Source organism: Homo sapiens, chromosome 2, assembly GCF_000001405.40.
Source record: "Homo sapiens chromosome 2, GRCh38.p14 Primary Assembly".
Classification (NCBI taxonomy): Eukaryota; Metazoa; Chordata; class Mammalia; order Primates; family Hominidae; genus Homo; species Homo sapiens.
In genome coordinates, this window is record NC_000002.12 from 44,309,438 (window position 1) to 44,332,695 (window position 23,258).

General features: G+C 38.5%; 2 protein-coding genes across 19 annotated transcripts in view, besides 1 other annotated feature; one reads left to right on the forward strand and one right to left on the reverse strand.

Annotated features, from left to right (window-relative positions):
* The window catches only part of SLC3A1 (solute carrier family 3 member 1), a 46,958-nt gene extending 33,958 nt beyond the window's left edge, over window positions 1–13,000 (forward strand). Inside the window, exons 8-10 of one of the 2 annotated variants that reach the window (XM_011533047.4) lie at window positions 3,149–3,316; window positions 4,398–4,514; window positions 8,681–13,000. In XM_011533047.4, coding sequence (XP_011531349.1) covers window positions 3,149–3,316; window positions 4,398–4,514; window positions 8,681–8,758 — 363 coding nt within the window. In that variant the 3' untranslated portion in view covers window positions 8,759–13,000. The remainder of the gene's footprint in view (window positions 1–3,148; window positions 3,317–4,397; window positions 4,515–8,680) is intronic. The other variant, NM_000341.4, reaches the window with a different exon arrangement.
* Window positions 8,170–23,258, reverse strand: part of PREPL (prolyl endopeptidase like) — a 44,256-nt gene continuing 29,167 nt past the window's right edge. For 11 of the 17 annotated variants that reach the window (NM_001171617.1, NM_001171603.1, NM_001374277.1 and 8 more), the window contains 7 exons: window positions 23,022–23,219; window positions 19,500–19,675; window positions 17,275–17,491; window positions 13,825–13,974; window positions 13,294–13,417; window positions 12,390–12,463; window positions 8,170–12,008 (listed from right to left, as the gene is read on the reverse strand). In NM_001171617.1, coding sequence (NP_001165088.1) covers window positions 11,919–12,008; window positions 12,390–12,463; window positions 13,294–13,417; window positions 13,825–13,974; window positions 17,275–17,491; window positions 19,500–19,675; window positions 23,022–23,219 — 1,029 coding nt within the window. In that variant the 3' untranslated portion in view covers window positions 8,170–11,918. The remainder of the gene's footprint in view (window positions 12,009–12,389; window positions 12,464–13,293; window positions 13,418–13,824; window positions 13,975–17,274; window positions 17,492–19,499; window positions 19,676–23,021; window positions 23,220–23,258) is intronic. The other 6 variants (XM_047446444.1, XM_047446443.1, XM_047446446.1 and 3 more) reach the window with 2 other exon arrangements.
* Window positions 22,393–22,566: a silencer, noted in NCBI's record as "fragment chr2:44558969-44559142 (GRCh37/hg19 assembly coordinates)". NCBI's record gives its function as "represses an EF-1alpha promoter that drives an FKBP-Casp9 reporter gene in an ReSE screen in K562 erythroleukemia cells {active_cell/tissue: K562}" and the evidence as "EXISTENCE:reporter gene assay evidence [ECO:0000049][PMID:32094911]".

Genomic DNA, 23,258 nt, shown 5'->3' on the forward strand with positions numbered 1-23,258 from the left:
ACACGTTATCTATTCATCTGTTGGTGACGTTTGTGGTTTTGCCTCCTTTTGGCTGTTGGAATAATGTTACAAACCAATGGTGTACAAGTATCTGTTTAAGCCCCAGATTTCAATTCTTTTGGATCTATACCATGGAGTGGAATTGCTGGATCACATAATACTTCTTTTGTTTTGTTTTTTGAGATGGAGTCTCACTGTATCACCCAGGCTAGAGTGCAGTGGTATGATCTCGGCTCACTGCAACCTCTGCCTCTGGGTTCAAGCAATTCTTATGCCTTAGCCTCCTGTGTAGCTTGGATTACAGGCATGTGCCAACATGACTGGCTAATTTTTGTATTTTTAGTAGAAATGGGGTTTTACCATGTTGGCCAGGCTGGTCTGGAACTCCTGGCCTCAAGTGATTTGCTGCCTTGGCCTCCCAAAGTGCTGGGATTACAGGCATAAGCCACTGTGCCCAGGCTTTTTTTTTGAGACAGGGTCTCACTTTGTCATCACCTAGGCTGGAGCACTGTGGTGTGAACATGGCTCACTGCAGCCTTGACCTCCTGGGCTCAAGCAATCCTCCTGCATTAGCTCCCACAAAGTAGCTGGGACTATAGGTGCATACCACCATACCTGGATAATTTTTGTATTTTTTGTGGAGATGGGGTTTTGCCATGTTGTCCAAGCTGGTCTTGAACTCCTGAGCTCAAGTGATCTTCCCACCTTGGCCCTTAAAGTGTTAGGATTACAGGTGTGAGCCACTGTGCCCAGCCTTGGATCATATAGTACTTCTGTGATTTTGAGGAACTACCAAACTGTTTTCCATAGTGACTTCTCCGTTTTACATTCCCATCAGCCATGTACGAAGGTTCCAATTTCTTTTCATCCTCACCAACACTTTTCTGTCTTGATTTAAAAAATTATACTCATCATAGTACAAATGAAGTGGTATCTCATTTTTTCATTATTGAATAACAGTTTTGCTGGATATAGAAATCTTGGTTTACAGTTCTTTCTTTCATCACTTTGAATATGTCATCCCATTGCCCTCTGGCCTTCATGGTTTCTGATAAGAAGTCAGTTGCTAATCTTATTGAGACTCCTTACATGTGATGTACCAATTTTCTTTGCTCCTTTAAAGATTCTGTGTCTTTTAACGGTTTGACTGATATGTCTAAGTGTGGGTTTTTAAAAATTTTGTCCTACTTGGAGTTCATTGAGGTTCTTAGATACACAATTTTTAAAAAAATCAAATTTGGGAAGTTGTTGGCTATTTTTTTTTTAAATATTGTTTCTGACCATTTCTCTTCCTTCTCTCCTTTTGAGACTCCCATTATGCATATGTTGGTATGCATGATAGTATCCCACAGGTCTCTGAGAGTCTGGTTTTTTTTTTTGAGACAGGGTTTTGCTCTGTTGCCCAGGCTGGAGTGCAGTGGTGTAAACATGGCTCACTGCAACCTTGATGTCCTGTGCTCAATTTTCCCATCTCAGCTTCTTGAGTAGCTGAGACTACAGGTGCATGCCACCATGCCTGGCTAAATTTTTAATTTTTTTGTAGACATGGGGTCTCACCATGTTGCCCAGGCTGGTTTAGAACTCCTGAGCTCAAGCATCTTCCTGCCTTGGCATCCCAAAGCACTGGGATTACAGGTGGGAGCCACAGTGCCTGGCCTCATTCTTCTTTTTCTTTCTGGTTCTCAGGCCAGATACTCTCAATTGAGTCTTCAAGTTTTCTGATTCCTTTGCTAGTTCAAATTTGTCAAGTCCCTCTAGTAAACGTCTCACTTTAGCTATTGTACTTTTTAACTCTAACAGTTTTATTTTTTCATAATTTCTCTTATCTATTTGATAACTGTTCATATACTTTAAATTCTTCAGGCACAGGTTTTTTCTTTGAATATCAAAATATTAGCTGGTTTAAAATCTTTGTCTAGTAAGTCCAATGTTTGGTCTTCCTAAGCAATATTTGCTATTGACTCCCCCCACCATTATATGAGCCATATTTTCCTGTTTTCTTTGACTGTTTTGTATATTTGTTGTTGTTGTTAAAAACCGGACATTTTAAGTAGTATGACAATTCTGGAAATCACATTCTTCCTTTCCCAGTGTTTGTTGTGCTCTATGTCCAGAAGTCTTGAGAAATCAAAGGGTTTCTTGTCAGAAGATCTCATGACAGTGAAAAGAATAAAAGGATGGAGGCAAAAATTGACCTAATTTTCTGGCCATAAACATAGAAAAATACTTCACAATGGTCTATAAAAACGTAATTATAAAGATCATTTTCATACAGCTAAGGAAGTTAAAAAAAAAAAAACCCAACCTCCTATTTCTTGAATTGTAGCAATTAAGTCTTGTCCTAAGACTCAAGTTCGAACGCTAGTTCTGTCTTAGACTACTACTTGAATAAATGATGTAATTTCTCAGAGCTTGTTTCCTCATTTGTAAAACGGAGATAGTACTTGCTAGCACTGTTGTGTGAAGGAGGGAAATATAGGTGTGAAAGTACTTTTTAAAAAGTAAAGTGCCATGCTCAGCGTATGCACATGAGGGTTTGAGTTGTGGGTTATGGAGAGAGTTGTCAGGTGATTTAAATAAATTCTTATTTAAACAAACTTATTTAAATAAGGGCTAGAATATACCTAGAACGTTTAACATGGAAATATATTTACAAATAGAAAACACTTTATAAAATTTCATCTTGGAGTATGTAAATTCTTTCTAAAAGTTGATTTACTTTAAAAATTTTGTCTGAATAATTCATAAGTCAAAACAATTTTTTAAAAGAGGACACATCAGAAGTCTCTCATGCCTGTCCCTTTCACCTGGGTTCCCTTGTCTTGCTCTCTGCCACAGTTTTGCTTCCTTTCCTGTCAATATTCTCTTATCCAAATATGAGAAAATATGACTATGTACCCTCTGAGTTTTATTTGCAATATCATTGTACAATAAATTCTTATCACCCTTTTCTTGCTCATCAGTGGCCAAGATAATAAATTGGTCAGTTACACAGCAAATAGCAGGCCTAGGACTCAAGTCCAGGCTTGCTAGTACCAAGGTACCACATCTACTTTGTTTTGCTACGTTGTGAACTTTCTGTGAAATAGGGTAAATCTTTCAGAAAACTGTGTATACAGCTGTGTTCTTAAAAATATCTGCCTTTCAGATTGGTGGACCAGACAGTTCACGGCTGACTTCGCGTTTGGGGAATCAGTATGTCAACGTGATGAACATGCTTCTTTTCACACTCCCTGGAACTCCTATAACTTACTATGGAGAAGAAATTGGAATGGGAAATATTGTAGCCGCAAATCTCAATGAAAGCTATGATATTGTAAGTTGAATACAACTTGACTATTCATCACAGCTATAAAACCAAGTATTCATTTTTTATTTTTTGCCAAATCAGAGAACTTACTATCTCTCTATTGCATTGCTGAAAATCATGGTTACTTTGCTTTTCTTTCTTACTGTTAGTAAGAATTCTCAGCTTTCTTGGTGGTCTGAGAGCTTATTTTAAAAATGCTTTGGAGCCATACAACTAAAAGTTTCTTGGGTAGGGCATTTTAAAGATGTTTTCTACCTGATAGGCACATTAAAATTTATTTATTTATTTTGCCAGGAATACTGTGTTGAGAGGCACACTAAAATTGGAGAACCGGTGGTTTAGTTTAGAATATGACTCATTTCCCTCTACTTGAAATGTGGAGTTAGGAACACTTATTTCTTTAGTTCTCATTTGTCCTGTTTGGTCTTGGGTGACCACAGCACAAGGACCCTTTTCTTTTCTGTTATCAGGTGCAGTGCACAGCCTCAGAGTTAAGCAGTTTTTATTTTGTAGCTACAGATTTCAGAATTGTGTTGCTGGGTAGACGACTATCTTGCAACTTTAATTGCCTAGTTAGCTTTCAACTATATGAGATCCAATTTCCCTAATATTTGATTAAGGTGAAGCTTTTTTCCCTCTATCAGCTCCTACATTTGTGTGTGTGCACTCATGAGCAATAATCAGGCTGAATAAACGAGTAGGACAGAATTCATACTCACTTGTACATGGCAGTGTTCTTAAATTCACCAACACTGTACCATAGTAGAAGTCGTGTAAACTGGCAATAGCACATTTTGAAATCCTGTATTATTGATTTTTAGGAAAAAGCAGCAGAGATTTCAAGCATGTATTAAAGTTCGATTAGTATTGTCTATTCAAACTCAAAATGTTATTAGGTACTTTCTAGTTAAAAGGGTGAAACTGGTTTATGTACCGAAAGTTGAGGCCTTTTCATCACAAATGCTAATGAGTACAAACACTAGCTAAGAACTATGGGGAATTAAATAATTATGAAGTAAATCAGGACCAAAGCACATTTCTTCTAATAACCAAACCACTGTTTTCCCTTTCTGGTCTTTTGACATAGAATACCCTTCGCTCAAAGTCACCAATGCAGTGGGACAATAGTTCAAATGCTGGTTTTTCTGAAGCTAGTAACACCTGGTTACCTACCAATTCAGATTACCACACTGTGAATGTTGATGTAAGTATCAGTGAAAATTTTATGTTGATTCTAGAAACAAAGAAATGGGTTTCTACTGAAAGTACACACTCACCCTGAATGTGTCTAAACCTTAACGGATACTCTTTAAATCAATCACAGACTTCCTTGCAGTTTTCCATTTGTAAGGAGTTTGTAAATCATGCCTTTGTGAAAATACAAACTGGTACAAATCTACCAAGTGAAGTGAAGTATCATATAGAATATACAAGTCTTCATTGCAATGACCTTTACTAAGGCCTTTGAGCTATGAAGGAAATTTTATGAAGTTTTTTAGCTAGCCCAGCTGCCTTTCCTCCTCTCTTCCCCTCAAAAGGCAGGGAGAGAGGCGAGTGGATAGGCAGCCATGCAGGCAGTAAGGAGATCAATCAATCAACCCAGAGCAAGGCTCAAATCCACACTACTGTTCTGAAGAAACAGAAGCCATACATGATCCTTAAAGTGGTTGCTCTGGCATACTAATACAACTTTGGCTTTTACCCTTTTTTCTGTTCCCATAGTGATCAAGCACTAATGTCATTCACTAGTGAAAACTTCACTGGAAAACAAACTAAACCAATTTAGGGGAAATGAAATTATAGATGCCACATGGAGATAGTTAAGAAATGCATAGCACCCTCTGCCACACACACACACACACCATGCCCATCCCACTCTACTGAGTAATCTGAGGAAACTCCCCAGGATATTCAGATATAGAAAGCCACACAAACCCTCCTGCTCCCACAGCTCCCTGCTACAAGCACCACTGAGAATTCTTGGATAGTATAAGCTTTGTTTTATATAGTTGTAAGTCTTGAAGACACAAAATATATATGGGTTGAATGCCTCTTGATTCTCATTATGTCTAAAATATTCCCATAGGCCAAGGCCAATCTGAATACAGTATGTAGGAAGTCCTACATAAAAATGCATACCAGCAAAGATGGAGAAAATGCAAATTAAAACAGTGATTTTTTTTTTTTTTTTTTTTTTTTTTGAGATGGAGTTTTGCTTTTGTTGCCCGGGCTAGAGTGCAATGGTGTGGTCTTGGCTCACCGCAACCTCCATCTCCTGGGTTCAAGCGATTCTCCTACCTTGGCCTCCCAAGTATCTGGGATTACAGGTGCCCGCCAGGCGCCTGCCACCATGTATGGCTAATTTTTGTATTTTTAGTGGAGACGGGGTTTCACCATGTTGGGCAGGCTGGTTTCAAACTCCTGATCTCAAGTGATCCGCCCACCTCGGCCTCCCAAAGTGTTGGGATTACAGGCGTGAGCCACTACGCCCAGCCAACAATGACACTTTTTTCTAAGTCATAAATCCCAGACAATGCCATTTTAATAAAATACATCCAAATGACCCTGGAAAGGAACAGAAAATTTAAGTAATTTCTAAAATACATAAAGTAAAATTAGGGCTGGGCACCATGGCTCACAGCTGTAATCCCAGCATTTTGGGAGGCAAAAGCCAGAGGAATGCTTGAGCACAGGAGTTTGAGACCAGCCTAGGCAATATAGTGAGACCTTGTTTCTACCTTCCCCCTACCCCCGCCAAAAAAAAAAAAAAAGGGAAATTAGCTGGGCCTGGTGACATGTGCCTGTCATCCCAGCTACTCAGGAGGCTGAGCCCAAGAGATCAAGGTTGCAGTGAGTTGTGATTACCCCAATGCACTCCAGCCTGGGTGCCAGAGTAAGACCGCCTCAAAAAAAAAAAAAAAAAAAAAAGCAGAGAATAGAAGTGGGAGTCTAAAACATACAGGAGAAAAACAGTTCTAACAGAGACAGCACTGTAGGAATTTCCTGAACTCCTGCAATTTGCCATGGCATAATTTCCCTAAGGAAAAAAAAATCTAGAACTGTTTGGTGATCACATGCATGGCAGAATTAGTAGAACAAAGCCTGAAGCTTCTACAAGTGCATCAAAGAAAGAAAAGAAGGAAAACAAGACCTAACTCTAGCACTGTCCCCTGGCGAGAATTCACTGTGGAATGCTCTCAGAAAGGAGAGCTTTTACTACTCAGCTCAGAGTCACAGACACCAGGAGAAAAAAGGTGGGAATCTAGAAAGCTTATCACCTTCAAGTAGGAAAAGAACCCTACATCCCAATGTCCCAAAGACAAGTCAGACCCACATCCAACTTGGCTTCCCATTATGAGAGGCAGGCAACCAAAGACAGGCAAACAAGGAAGGTCAAAACACAAAAGCAAACAGATCAAGAATCACACAGCATCTGAGAAAAACCAAGGCCATAAAAGGGAGACACCATTCCTAACAGAACACTGTAGAAAGCAGAGAAAATTATAGCAAACATAAGACTTAAATATAAGTATAAATACCCCCAGTAGATTGCTGTTTAATGGAGCTCCTTGACATTCTTTCAAGAAGTGATTAGATCTCTCAGAAGTATAAAAGACTGTCAAACAATGAAATAAAATAGAACATAAGTGCTAATTAGTGTGCTGAAAAATTGATCCAGGGGCTTGTCCAGAACGTACTGAAAAAGACAAAGAATTAAGAGCATAAGAAAAAATCGGGATACATGGAAGATAGATACAGAATTCCGTACATGCAGTAACAACAATTGCACAGGAGAACAGACTGGAGGAAACATACAAAGAAATAAAATACATAACCCAGAGATAAAGGAAGACTTTGTCTTCTTTCAGAACAGGTAGGATAAAGAGAACTCCAAAACTACTCAGAAAGAAACCAAACCTGAAAATAGATTGCCTGAGAAAAGGGTTGAGAATTGGACTAGCATCAGACTTCTCAATTGGATACTACACCACATTAGAACTCTATCTTCAAAGTTGTAATGGAAACGGAATTCTGTATCCATTCAAAGAGCAAAACAGAGATGGAAAAGCAAGGACCCACATTTTACCATGTGTGGCCACTTTCTGAAAGAATAGTCAAGGGACTATCCAACAAAACATAACAATTCTAAGAGATACAATGTATTAAAGAAGGAAAAGGAAATAACTTGATTTAAATAATTTTTGATACACAATGTAAAACAAGGTATTCTGGAACAAAAATCTTAGTGATTTGATTCTATATGGGAAATGTTAGCAGGGAGGGTGTGTGGGTGGGAGGGGGCACACAGGAGCAAGCAAATGAGAGAGCAGTGTTTGTTTTGCACAGGAAAAAGAGTAACTCTAGATTTGAGCTGTTCAGTAGCCATTAACCACTGTGACTATTACATTAAATAGAATTAAACATTTAGTTCCTGCTGGGTATGGTGGCTCACGCCTATAATCCCAGCACTTTGGGAGGCCAAGACTGGAGGATCACTTGATCCTAGGAGTTTGAGACCAGCCTAGGCAACATAGTAAGACCCTATCTATCTCTTAAGAAAAAAATTAGCTGGGCATAGTGGCACACACCTGTAGTCCCAACTACTCAGGAGGCTGAGGTGGGAGGATCACTTGAGCCCAGGATGTTGAGGCTGCAGTGAGCCATGATCATGCCACTGCACTCCAGCTTGGGCAACAGAGGGAGATTGTGTCAAAAAAAAAAAAAAAATTCAGTTCCCATGTCATAGCAACACTTCAAGTGCTCATTAGCTGCCATATTGGATGGCTCTGATATAGAACATTTCCAGCATTACAGAAAGTTCTATTGGCCAGCATTGTTCTAGACATTGAGAAACATTATTTTCAAGTGGTCATAATTTTAATGGTAAAATTAGGACATAAAAATAATTTTCAAAGAATTATTTTCAAAGAACACTAGACATAAAATATAACAATTTTCAAATTTTCAAAGAATACTAGAAGAAAAAAATTATACAGTCAATCCAACAAAAAGCTTAATAGAAAAAAACCCTAAACAATAGTATAACTACAAATAAAATAGGGCTTCCGAATTATGTCTAAATAATACAATAATTACAAATATGAATGGGTTAAATTAGCCTATTAAAAGATAAAACCACTCAGATAACAAAAACAGACATAAGAAACACTAACATAAAACACAAAGAATTAAAATGAAGATATAGCAAGCAAATAATAGAAAGCTTGCAACCCAGCTATAGCTATAAACACAAAAAATGAAGTTATCTTTTGACCTAATAATTCCATTCCTAATACTTAGAAATATTTGCACATGTGCACAATAATACTTAAAGGATCTCAACACTGTTTTTTTTTTTTTTTGAGACAGTCTTGCTCCGTCACCCATGCTCGAGTGCAGTGGCGTGATCTCGGCACACTGCAGCCTCTGCTTCCTGGGTTCAAGTGATTCTCCTGCTGCAGCCTCCCAAGTAGCTGGGATTACAGGTGCACGTCATTATGCCCGGGTAATTTCTGTATTTTTTAGTAGAGATGGTGTTTCACCATGTTGGCCAGGCTGGTCTTGAACTCCTGACCTCTGGTGATCTGTCTGCCTTGCCTCCCAAAGTGCTAGGATTACGGGCCTGAGCCACCTTGCCTGGCCTGCAAAATTTGTTTTTAATAGAAGACACAAGAAATGATTTAAATATTTTATCAACAGAAAACCAGTTCTATCAACTATGGGCCCAGTATGCAGCTTTTAAAAATGACAGTTCTATATACATTGATATGAGACCATTTCAAACAGGTATTCAATAAAGTATAGAATGGTAACATATCACCAACTGTGTAAAGAAAAATATATAAACATATGAAATGATACATTCTGTGCCTATGCAAACATATGATACATTAAAAACAAAAGAACATATAGTGCCTGTCTCTGAGGGGAACTGTGAAGCTATGGAAAGGTGTTGAAGAAAACCTTTTTATAGTATGTATTCTTGTAATTGAATAAAAAATAAAATTACAAAAATCAGGCTTGGAAGTATTTAATAGCAGACAAAATATAGTTCAATATGAAAAGCATTATATGAGACAAAGGCAATTTTCAAAAATTGATAAAACATTCCACCAAAAATCATGACTACGCATCTAACAGCTTCAAAATATAGAAAATACTCAAATGCAAAATCAACAAATCTGCAATTACAGAAAAAGACTTCAACATACTTTTAGAAAGTAGTAACTCAAGTAGACAATAATAGCTAACACTTACCGGGCACTTCTTATGTGAGTGGCACTGAAACATGTGCTTTCATGCATTACCTAAGGCTAGAGAAAATGTTAATAACTTAGACAAGTCATACATGTATCATAAATATCTTTGTACCTGACAAACAGAATAAACATCTTTTTAAACACCATTAGATAATTATTTAAAGACCACATATTGGGAACCTACCCCTAAAGAACAATAACAACCACAATAACAACTATCACCCCAGTAAACATGGCTGGCAAGAATACAATTAAATGAACATTATCACTGATTTGGCAACAGCTCTTATGAAGAATAATTTGGCATTATGTATCAAGTGCCCATACTCTTTGACAAAGTAACTGTCTTTCTGATAATCTATCTTAAGTAATACAAAAATGGGGGGAGGGGAATAAAAATACAAAATATTAGAAACACTATCGTCAAAATGAAAGGGCATGGCTGAGTATGGTACAACCGTTCAACAGAATATTGTCATTAAAAACATTTATGGAGGCTATATTATATAGTCAATAACAGAAAATGCTTGAAAGGTTAGAAGTACATCATCAAATTATGTTTTATATAGCTGTAAAATAAACCCAAATCATCTTTAATGAACACATACTATTATGGTAAAAAAAAGTCTACAATTTCTAACTTTCACCTTAGGCAGCTTTTTATTTTGCATCCTTTTTTTCAACTTTGTCTTCTATTAGCTGTGCAAGAAATACATGTCTGCTAAAGTTACACGATCTTCGCACAACAGCAACCTACACATTAGTCTACAAAGGGGAACAAACCCAAATTCCTCAGAAGTCTGAGTCCACTGTTGCCTTCTTTCTGGCCATCTGGCAGTTACAATATAGCACAGAATGACTATGCAAGTTAAATATTCATCTTAGACATGGACATTTGCTTTGGGACTCCTAAAGTGGAGTCAAATTTGATCTCTACAGAAACTCTACAATGTAGCAGAGCACTGTGCGTACTTATTGACTCCCAGACAAGCCGAAACCCCGAATTTGTCATTTCTATCAGTTTTTATATAAATTGTTCTTACCTACTTATTGATGCTTACAATTTGGCAATTATAAGGGGCAAAATTGGAGCAAGTGTTTTGGGTAAATAACTCCTTACAATATATTAAAAATACTTACAAACAATTCTTAGAATCAAACACTTACGTAAATACTTTTTTAAAAAAATAGGTCCAAAAGACTCAGCCCAGATCGGCTTTGAAGTTATATCAAGATTTAAGTCTACTTCATGCCAATGAGCTACTCCTCAACAGGGGCTGGTTTTGCCATTTGAGGAATGACAGCCACTATGTTGTGTACACAAGAGAGCTGGATGGCATCGACAGAATCTTTATCGTGGTTCTGAATTTTGGAGAATCAACACTGTTAAATCTACATAATATGATTTCGGGCCTTCCCGCTAAAATGAGAATAAGGTTAAGTACCAATTCTGCCGACAAAGGCAGTAAAGTTGATACAAGTGGCATTTTTCTGGACAAGGGAGAGGGACTCATCTTTGAACACAACACGAAGAATCTCCTTCATCGCCAAACAGCTTTCAGAGATAGATGCTTTGTTTCCAATCGAGCATGCTATTCCAGTGTACTGAACATACTGTATACCTCGTGTTAGGCACCTTTATGAAGAGATGAAGACACTGGCATTTCAGTGGGATTGTAAGCATTTGTAATAGCTTCATGTACAGCATGCTGCTTGGTGAACAATCATTAATTCTTCGATATTTCTGTAGCTTGAATGTAACTGCTTTAAGAAAGGTTCTCAAATGTTTTGAAAAAAATAAAATGTTTAAAAGTAAATTATGGCTTATAGGAGCTTATAACTTTATTCAGATAGCATCAATCAGGGATGACCAGAACACATTAGGACCCCAGATTATTCAAAAACTTTAACGAATTTTAAGGGGAAGAATTTTATCTTTTCCCTTAAAATGCAGTCATAGAAATTAGAGGATGACTCACTGCCACAGTGTCTAAAAGCATTTGCTAGCAAAGAGGCAGGACACTAATTTGTAAACTGCTCAACTGTTCTGACTGGAAGGGAGGCCTGGAGCTCTGCTATCACCAATCCTTCCCTTCCCTCTACTCCACATCCTTCTAAGGAGCATGATTTGAAAATTACTTTCCTAGGTTAATGGGCATGTGCATCAATGGAGAGAATAGTATAAGCAAGTGAGATGTAGACTAAGCAAAATTTAGATGGAGAAGCACATTTTAAAAAATTAATAACTTAAAAGTCTCAAGTTATTAATTTTTTTTTTGCTAACTCAATTGGAAGTAAGACTATGAAATATTTCAGTGTGTTTCCAATTCCCAGTTGAATGCAGTGTTTCAGAATTTCAGGTATTTCTTAAGATCCTCGAAAACACTGGTGCTGTCAAGTCCAAGTTCCTCGTACAGGAATTTAATTTGGGCTGTAATCTAAAAGAAACACATTAAAAAAATTAAATAGAAGGCCTTTGTAGTAAAATGCCACTGTTTAAGCTTCTCTTTATCTATCCATCTTTACCTAACCGTGAAGTCAGCAATTTATGGCAAGAATACTTTCATTCGAGAGAGAGGCAGAAGGCTTCCAACAATTAAGATTAAATTATTTTCTTTAACAGAGCTCACGTATCAAGTACAAGAGAGAGACATTTCTCTTGATTGACACAGTGTCCCTCCCTCCCCTCCTGGGTCTCACCCATAGATAGGACATTTGTGAAGTGGCTTTGTCATAAACCTGCTGCAACCACTGAAAATGTGAAAACAACATGTATCTAGTTCGGGAATCTGTCCACTGAGAGGGCCTTGATAACATACCTTTTTGTGAGAATCCTCAATTACATGATTGCCTCCAGGCTGAATATCTAGAATAATATTAGGGGTCTGATAGCCTGGAAGAGTTAACATGTAGAACAATTAGAAGATTGTATGGGATCTTCTTTGGAAGATCGAGACCCATTCCTCCCCTCTTCTTTGAGTACTCAGTTCAAATAATAGTAAAGGAATAAAAAGCAAAAACCACCATCATCAACAAAAAGATGGGAGGGGACAAGCAACAGAAGACAAACTTCTGACACAGCGAAAGCAGGAAGAGGCCGTATGGAAAAGACTATATGGTGCCACACGGACAAGGTTGAAACCCAGGAGATCATCAACCTGCCCTGTGGAATCTGAGAGTCTTATGCCCTGGAAACACCAACTACAGCAATGGATGGGGGTGACAAATGGAGATGAATACAGGGAGACTGATATGGCATGTAGTTTCAAGGCAAAAGGGAGGGATTCTTATCTCATAAAGCTGAAACAGCTAGCTAGAGGAAATTCATGCAGCTAAACAGTTTGGGCACTGATGGCCCAAAACAAAAATCTCAGAATCTGTCTTTTAGAGATTCCCAAGAATAACGGCTCAATAAATATTGTTAAATGAATTAATAATTGTATGGCAGTGCATCTCCAAGTTATATCTGATTCTTAAATTTCCTGTTTCCTTTGTGTCCTGCCTATCTATTTTAATACTGTCCTTTGAAAAAGAGGTGAGGCAGTGTATGTATAGACATGTAGTTACGTACACTTTAACTGGGGAGTCAACATAGCAAAATAATTGTTTGCCCTAAATCCTGGGCAGATGATTTGGCTACAGCCTGAAATATATTCCTCTGAGCAGTGTGCTGTGGGTAGTAGTCTGTTTGGCCATGTTCCCTGCTTCTAGGGGGTCTCCTACCTTCACCTGTGTCCTTAGCATGCTCCGCGATGGCTTCCTTGAGTTTCTCAGTATAACTTACAATTCCTTTCAGAGGTACCCGTTCATCGTTTTCATATGCCGTTATGTGAATTGAAGGATAATGCTGAAAGAAAATACATGCACGAAGAGTTTACATTATTTCTTATGGTCCCTTGCCACTATAGAGACTATGAAAAATAATTACCTCCAATTTTTCCCTGTAAGTGCTCTATGCTTTTTCTCACTTGCTATCTTGAGAGCGCCTCAGTATTACAGTAGTAGACTACTTGTTATCTGGAATAGCCTTTTCTTGACTAAAGGACCTTAGCTAATTTAGTAATTAAGGCATGATAAGTCTATTCCCCTGAGGTATTAAACATGGAGCATGAGCAGAGATGGTGCTGAAGATATTTGGGCATCATAAGTAGAAACATCTCTAAAGCTCCTATTTTTGCTTCAGCTTGGATAAGTTTTTTTTTTATTATCTTCTGTGTAAATTCAGGATAATCTAACACAATTGTCTTTCACTACCTGAGGTTTAATATTTTGATAGGGACAGTAACGTTTTATGTAGTTCTTGTGTTTTTCATCAGATGAAGGATTCCCCCATTCTTCTAATTCTTCTAATGTCAGAGGAAGTGTAGTGTCCATCATGGTGTTGAGAACATCCAAGAAAGGTGCCTAAAAAAAAGGCAAAGAAACTTATACTTCAAGTAAGAGGTTGGTAAGTGAGTTTCAGAAAAACATTCTATTTTATGAATATACATACTAATATGAGAGAAAATAACTCAAGCCATGTAGATTCCTAGGAGCTAGAATACTCAGTCCTTAACCAGGGCCTGTAATTTATAACCTACTTTTAAAGTCTTCAGATTCCTTAAATGACATATAACAAGAAATGGTTTATCTTCTAATTTCACAATATTTATTTTTAGCTTAGTACCTTTTATTCATTTATATTTTTTCTTATATAAAAGCAATAAATGCTACTGTCTCATACCAATTAGGACAGTTAGTTATTATATTAAAACAACAACAACAACAACAAGTATTGGCAGTAATGTGGAGAAACCGGAATCCTGATACACTGGTGGTTGGAATGTAAAATGGGGGAGCTGCTTTGGAAAACAGTATGGTGGTTCATCAAAGAGTTAAGCTTAAGATTACCATATGATCCAGCAATTCCACTCCTGGCATATAATCCCCAAAACTGAAAGCAGGGTCTTAAAGAGATCTGCATACCTATGTTCACAGCAGCATATTCACAACAGCCAAAAGGTGGAAGCAACTCAAGTGTCCATTAACCAAAGAACGAATAAGCAAAATGTGGTATACACATGCAATATTACATGGAATATTATTCAGCCTTAAAAATGAATAAAATTCTGATCCACGCTACAATATGGATGAACCTCAAGGATATAATCTAAGTGAAATAAGCCAGTCACAAAAAATTTTGTATGACTCCACCTATGTGAGGTGTTTGAGTAGTCAAATTCACAGAGACAGAGGCTGTGGGAAGAAGCAAATGGAGAGCTGTTTAATCGGTACAGGGTTTCAGTTTTGTTAAGATGAAAAACGAGTTCTGGAGATTGACTGCATAAGCCTATGAGTGCACTTACCACTACTGAACTATTCACTTAAAAATGGTTGAGATGGTAAATTTTATGGTATTTTACCATAATTAAAAATTTTTAAATGAAAAAAATACACAAGGAATAAAGTCTTTTTGACCAGTTGGACATTTTATATTAAAAGCAAAAAACGCTAAGTAAAGAAACTCTGCAAAATACCCAAGGTGAAAGAAGAGAAAACAACCCATTGGCTTATAATTAGTGTTACAAAATTTAATAAAACGAAGGCTGGGTCGCACATGGTGGCTCATGCCTGTAATCCCAGCACATTGGGAGGCTGAGGTGGGCAAATCACTTGAGCCCAGGAGTTTGAAACTAGCCTGGGTAGCATGGTAAAACCACATCTCTACAAAACAACAACAAACCACAAAAATTAGCAGGGCATGGTGGCACATGCCTGTAGTCCCAGATACTCAGGAGGCTGAGGTGGGAGGATCACCTGAGCCCCAGAGGTCGAGGCTGTAGTGAGCTGTGTTCGTGTGCCATTGCATTCCAGCCTGGGTGAAAGAGCAAAACTCTGACTCAAAAAACAAAACAAAACAAAACAAAAAAACAAAAACCCCACAAAAACAACAAAACAAAAATGAAGGCTGTATTTTTCACTTAGCTTTATTTTCTTCTGTTAACATACTTTTTAGCTTTCCCTCATATTAACATTAACCAAGTATAGTGAGTCATCTGTAATTCTTTTTGGCTGCCTACCATATGAACTTTTTTGCATTTGAAAAACCTCCAACCTTATCAGCTAGAGCCTGCCTCTCACTGTGGAGATACTAAGTGCTAGACTTCTCTTTCCCATTTTTCCCTGCAGCTTGGGAGTAGCTGTGTGACCCATGTGTGACTTGGGTCTATCAACCAGACACATGTGCTTTACACTCTGCATGGAAAGTTAGTGATTCAAAGAAGCAGTGATCACAGATAATTTATTCTGGCAAAAGTGCCACAGCTATATCCAGCTCTAGAAGTTGCACTGGCAGTGTGAGGTGATTTGTGCTTGGCAGTGGCGGCAGTAATAGTTTCATTGGGCCAATTCTATGCCTTTGGCTCTGAAGCCTCTAACACTGGTCTGAAGACACCTACATTTTCCTAATGCCCTTTAATCCCTTTTCTGCTTAAATTAGGGTTGATTTTTGGTGCTTATAAGAAGAATTTGACTTATACATGTATAAAAGGTTGTCTCCTAGTCTTCACTATAATAAGCAACCTAGCATAAATATCCTTCTCATCATTTCCTTTTAAATTTCTAAAAGTCAAAATCTAGTTGCTTTGTCTTTAAACTGTAAATAATTCTGCCATTATCTTTGTGCATAGGCTATTCTCCACATTTTTCTGTTTTTAAAAAATAGACTTACAGGTGACTACTATTTAACACTTATTTACAAGCCCACAGTATAAACTCCCCAACCTCAAAATAAAAAATCCTGAAAATAATTTACTCTCTCCCATCTCAGTCATTATTTTTCAGAGTAACCTAGAAGTAGGAGAATGATAGCAGTGAAACCAACTGCTACAATGTAACTTCGTAATTTCTGACACTGGGAAAAGATAATCATTTTCAGAACAGGGTAAGATATTTCAATTAAAATACGGAAAAACTATGCCCAAACGACCATTAAGAATGGACTATCTAAAAATAAAGAGCCTATAAATCTAGGACTGAAATGTTGATGGGCAGTAGCCTGTCAAGGTGACCAGGAGCCAAAGGACTCAGTGCATTCCAGAGTCACAGCGTGCTTTGCCTGGCTTTCTCAACTGGGACTCATATATGCTTCAGTGCTTTTTCACCAATTCTAAATGTCCTTACAAATACAAATGAGCAATGGAAATAGCCATTAATATCTTTCAGTGGAAAGCCTTAAAGATAATAAAGAACACTGTATCAGAGAAGAATAACGGTTAATAGTTGGATTAAAATAACTTTAGAAGTTCTCCTCAAGCTATAATTCTGAGTTTAAAACTTAAAAGCTTTGTTATACTCCTATGCTATGGTAAAACTGTAACAGAAATGTTTTTCTTTCCTTTTTTTTTTTTTTTTTTGACAATGTCTCACTCTGTTGCCCAGGCTGGAGCACAGTGGTCCACTGCAGCCTCAACCTCTTAAGAGATCCTCTTACCAACAAGCCTGGGTAGGTTTTTTTTTTTTTTTAATTTCTTGCAGAGACAGGGTCTCGCCATGTTGCCCAGGCTGGTCTCGAGCTCCTGGTAAGCAATCTGCCCACCTCAGTTTCCCGAAGTGCTGGGATTACAGGCATGAGCCGCTGTGCCAGCCCAAAAACATTTTTCTTAGAGTAGCCTATGGCTTCACACCTCCCCCATTCTATAAACAGTAGAGACAGAGCGTACTCACCTCCAAAGTCACCGCTCTCACCAGCTCTGGATTAGAATTACACAATGCTCCTGCAAGCACCCCTCCAGCACTGAAAGCAGTCAGGGTTGTTAGACTTGGCTGAGAAAAGCCTTGGCCATGAAGCGTCTTAATGCAAGCCTCTAAATCAGCAAGGCCATTGAGTTTTTTAGTTAGGCGGCCATCAGCGTGCCACTGGAGGCCTAACTCACCACCACCTCTGAAATTGAAGGGCAAAAAAGTTTTAGTGGAAAAAAAAAGTTAATACTGTAGGCTGGGGTCAGCGAACTACACCTGGAGGCCTGTTTTTTGTGTGGCCCTGGAGCTAAGACTGGTTTTTGCTTTTTAAAGGTTGAGTGAAAACAAGGAATGTGCAACAGAAACTGTACGCGGCCTGCAAAGCTTAAAATGTGACTATGTAGCTCTTTAGAGAAAAAGGTTTGCCAACTCCTGATATAGACAATCCAGAATTGATTCAACGAATATATTTTGAGTGCCTGCCCATTTATCAGGGATTAAGTACAGACCTTAAAAGTAGAAACAAACGAAAATCCCCTACCGTGGAGAAGACAGTAATTTTGTGGGGTAAGAAAACAACGACTTACCCAGCAATGTGGTGTCATTGCTACAATACAAGTGTATTTAAGGTATTACAGGAGCAGAGGAAAGAACATCCATCTGCCAGGTGAGGGGTATATACACGAGTCAGGAACACAAATGCTTTTAAGGAGATGATGCCTAAACTGAGTTGTGAAGGAAAAATTTGAGTTTCCAGAGGGCAAAGAAAAGGCATTAAGACACAGATACGACACAGCATGTATAAGGGCAAGGAGGTGACAGAGCATGTCATTTAAAAGACATGACTTTGGGGGCTGGACACAGTGCCTCAAGCCTGTCATCTCAGCATTTTGGTAGGCTGAGGTGAGCAGGTCACTTGAGGTCAGGAGTTTGAGACCAGACTGGCCAACATGGTGAAACCCCCGTCTCTCCTAAAAATAGAAAAAATTAGCCAGGTGTGGTGGTGCGTGCCTATAAGCCCAACTACTCGGGAGGCTGAGGCAAGAGAATTACTTGAACCTGGGAGGCGGAGGTTGCAGTGAGCGGAGATTGCGCCACTGCACTCTAGCCTGGGAGACAGAGTGAGACTCCATCTCAAAAAAATACAAAACAAAATAAAAAAAATAAAAGGACATGATTTTGGAAGGCTGAGGCGGGCGGACTGCTTGAGCTCAGGAGTTCGAGACCAGCCTGGGCAACATTGGAAAACCCTGTCTCTACTAAAATACAAAAAAATCGGGCTGGTACGGTGGCTCATGCCTGTAATCCCAGCACTTTGGGAGGCTGAGGCGGGCGGATCACTTGAGGTCAGGAGTTCGAGACCAGCCTGGCCAACATGGTGAAACCCCATCGCTACAAAAATTTCAAAAATTAGTCAGGAGTTATGGCAGGCACCTGTAATCCCAGCTACTCAGGAGGCTGAGGCAGGAGAATCGCTTGAACCCTGGCCAAGATCATGCCACTGCACACTCCAGCCTGGGCGACAGAGCAAGATTCTATCTCAAAAAAAAAAAAAAAAAAATTCAGACAGTGTGGTGGTGTGCGCCTGTAGTCCCAGCTACTCAGGAGCCTGAAGCATGAGAATCACTTGAACCTGGGAGGCAGAGGTTGCAGTGAGCCGAGATTGTGCCACTGCACTCCAGCCTGGGCGACAAAGCAAAACTGTCTCAAACAAAAAAAAAAAAAAAAAAAAAAAAAGGGTCTGATGCTAAATGCCGCTACAGAGATCCATCAGACCATTAGGAGTATTATACTGGGGAATCTGGACTGTGTTCTAGAGATGGGGAGGTGGAGAAGAATTTTAAGCAGAAATACAAAATAATATTTGTGTCTTGAAAACAGCTGAAATAAAATGGAAGTTAAATGGAAAACAGTTCAGATTCAGAGGCTACTTAAACCTGAATTCAGGAGAACTGAAAGGAAATAATAATATTACTAAATAAGTACAGAGTCTGGTACCTCTATGCAAAAATCCTAAAAACCTATCCTTTTGCTTTTTGGATCAACTAATCTGTTAAAGAATCAAGTTTCACCAGTGCTGGTTTAGGAATACAAAAATTGAATAATAAGAATGAAAAAAATAAGCTTTTGTTCCCTGATATATATTGTTATTCTTGACATCTCTCACAATGGTCTAGCACTTACATGCCAGGTAAAATATACTGACTCACCGAACATGGCAGTATGCTAATATCCATCCATCATCCACCAGGACCCGCCTCTCAGGCCTGAAATTCATTTTCAAATCCATTCCATAAGCTCCATATACATGTACCAAGAGAGGTTTCTTCTGCAAGTCCTCAGAGTCAGTTTTGTGGAAAACAGTCATTGGCACTAATTTTCCATCCTAGAAATGAAGAATTACTATGTATGTAAAGAAGAGTCTTTTATAATAACTGTTTTATCCCAATTTAAAATACATTGAGGTGCACTGTCCCCACTTGTGTGCTACCTACTGATGTTGAGCACAAATTTGTTTAAGAAAAAGAATTATGGTCTCTAAAAATAAATCATGGCTTTTGGTTTCAGCTACCTTGCTGTCCTACAGTATTAACCAGAAAAGAGCAGCAAGACTGGCCTGAAAACATTTTATTAAATGCAGCTTTTCATGACAATAATGTAATTTTAAAGAGTTCTTCACTACCTACTATAATTTTAAATTTTCAGATGAAACCAAAATACTTACCAAGGTTAGAAGTCCTAGTATAGCACTCTTCCTATGCCTAAGAGCTAGATATTGGCATTTTTCACTTTTGAGTATCTACAAATATGCTGACTAAAGTCTTACCAGCTCAATTTTCTATATCCTCTGTAGTCGGAATTCTCAACCATTAAGACCTGAAATCTTACTGATGTTACTGATAACTACCACAATCCTCTTCAAAGGCCCATTTAACTTTATTAAAAAAAATTTAAAGTGGTCTTAAAATTTTTCGGTAAAATTCTTTGTAGGGTTAAAGTAAGTTAAATTATTTGTAAGGTTACTAAGTTACTTGTAGGTTATGTAACCATCCCCCAATGTAGCTCAAACTCATCAGTTCCAGTTGATTGAAACTAGGCAGTCTCTGAACAGACAAAAGAACTAATTCTGATCTACCTTTCACACAAAAAAGATAAAGAAATTGGTTTTCACCCTGCTTAAACTAATGAAATAGCACCGTTTACATAAAGAAAATAAATAATACATCCAAGTCACTCTTCATATTTTCATTCTCATTTTGAAAACTTCACTTTGGGGCAATAACTGGAGACAGCAAAATGTAATCAAATAAGGAGGAAATTCTCCTCTCATTCTTCTTTAAAATACCCAAGTTGTTATGACATTGTTAACTTTCACTTTTAGTAAGATTCACTTTTATAAAACTTGATGTAGATTAATTTCTATAAAACACTCTTGGTCTTTTCACTTCCCAACTCTTCCCCAACTTCAATTATACAATCAGAAAAAGTTGCTTGTTGAAAAGTTTTGAAAGGAAGAGGTAAAACAGTAGCTACTCCTGTGATGGGCTGGATCTGGGTTTGCCAGCAGTACTAAAATGCCTGTGGAAAGGTATAGCGCTTCCATTCAGCAGCTGCTTCCCTTCTCCCCTCTTGGCTCTCCAAGAACATGGTGCTTAACTGTTCTTTCCATCTCGGGTCCAATAATTGCAACATTTTGATAGACTAGTCTAATTCCATGTTTGTAAAACCAAATAAAACCTATCTAAAAGATAATACACTAAGTGGGTAACAATGATTATTTCTAAGAGGTGCAGCAAGCAAATGGTACTGAGAAGTAGTCATTTAAGATTTGTTCTGTATTTTTGCATCTGTTCAACAAGCATGTATTGCTTTTGTAATATAAAAATATTAATATTTACTTAAAGATTGTCAGAGAAAAATAAATGAATTAAAGAAAAAAATTCCTAAGAATAAAAGGCTTGTGTTGTAATTCATTGTGTCAGCACATGTGAAATTATCTGATATATGATATGCTAAAGTCTGAGGTTTCCTTAAATTCAAGGCTATAGTTTACATATTAATTTGTTCCCTACTTGCATAAATTTGTATATTCTGTATATTGAGTATACCTGGAATATGGATATTTGTTATTTCCTTTTCTGTGTCTCATCTCTCTCTACTCCTCACCCTGCCAATCTTCCCTCTTTTACTTGATTTTGGCCATAATGGCCTCCTTTATATTTGTTCTTTTTCTGAGACAGGATCTTACTCTGTCACACAGGCTGGAATGCAATGGCGCAATCACAACTCACTGCAGCCTCAACCTCCTGGGCTCAAGCAATCCTCCCACATCAGGTTCCCAAGAAGCAGGGACTACAAGCATATGCCACCATGCCTGGCTAATATTTTTGGTTTTTGTAGAGATGAGGTCTCACTATATTGCCCAGGTTGGTTTCTAACTTCTGGGCTCAAGTGATCCTCCCAGCTTGGCCTCCCAAAGTGTTGGGATTACAAGTTTGAGCCACTGTGCCTAGCCCTACACTTCTTCTGTAGGCTGGAGAGCAGTGGTGAGGTCTTGGCTCACTGCAACCTCTGCCTCCTGGGTTCAAAGGATTCTCCTGCCTCAGCCTCCTGAGTAGCTGACATTACAGGCACCTGCCACCACACCCGGCTAATTTTTTGTATTTTTAGTAGAGATGGGGTTTCACCATATTGGCCAGGCTGGTCTCGACCTCGTGATCTGCCCGCCTCAGCCTCCCAAAGTGCTGGGATTATAGGTGTGAGCCACTGTGCCCGGCCAGCCCTACACTTCTTGAATTGTATAATTTCTCCCCAAATTCAGGGCCTCTATACAAAATGGAATCCCCTATCTCCTTTCTAGTTTACTCTTAATCATCCTAGTGGTCTTACCTGAGACATAACTTCCTTGGAGAAAACTTCCCTGATCTCTCTAGACTAGGTAAAATCCCTTTGCTCTATGCTCCCACTGTACTCAGTATGTCCTCCTTTGCAGCAGTCAGTACATTATTAATGACTTTTTAAACATGTCATCTTTCCTGCTAGATGTATGCTCCATGAGGGCAGGGACTGTATCAGTCTAGTTTACTCTAGTCAACTACCACCTTCACTATTTTTGCCATAACTACATACCAACTCTATTAATTTTTTCTTAAAATCAACTTTAAAAAATCAGACATAAACAACATGTAAAATAAAAAGTTTGACATGCTATAAATTTTCTTTTTTTTTTTTTTTTTTGAGACGGAGTCTTGCTCTGTAGCCCAGGCTGGAGTGCAGTGGCACGATCTAGGCTCACTGCATGCTCCGCCTCCTGGGTTCACGCCATTCTCCTGCCTCAGCCTCCCAAGTAGCTGGGACTACAGGCGCCCGCCACCATGCCCAGCTAATTTTGTGTATTTTTAGTAGAGATGGGGTTTCACCGTGTTAGCCAGGATGGTCTCGATCTCCTGACCTCGTGATCCACCCGCCTCGGCCTCCCAAAGTGCTGGGATTACAGGCGTGAGCCACCGTGCCCGGCCGACATGCTATAAATTTTCTAATCCATGTTAAAACAAACATGAATATTAAGGTTAAAAAAAATTCACCTATCCCTAAAGTCACTTGGGTATTACTGTGGTCTAAGAAATCTACATTAGGAAACCGTGCTAATGTAACTCCAACAACTGCATGGCATCTGGCAAACGGTATGCTTTCAGTAAATGGGAGCTGAAAGTGAAGATTATAAGACCTACCTTGCTTTTGGCTTCTAGACGTAAAACGCGACTAGTCTTTGTGATTGGGTCTTCATGCCCAGTTTCCTCAAACAGTTTGCCTTCTGCAAACTTGTATGTGTAATATTTTGGGGGACGTATTGGAGAGCAAAGTTGAAAGGGGCAGTTCTTTGGGTCAGAATTTGTATCCATTATGAATCCACAGGCCCAAGGAGGGAGCTAAAGAAATACAACAGCTATTTTTATTCTTTATTTAGG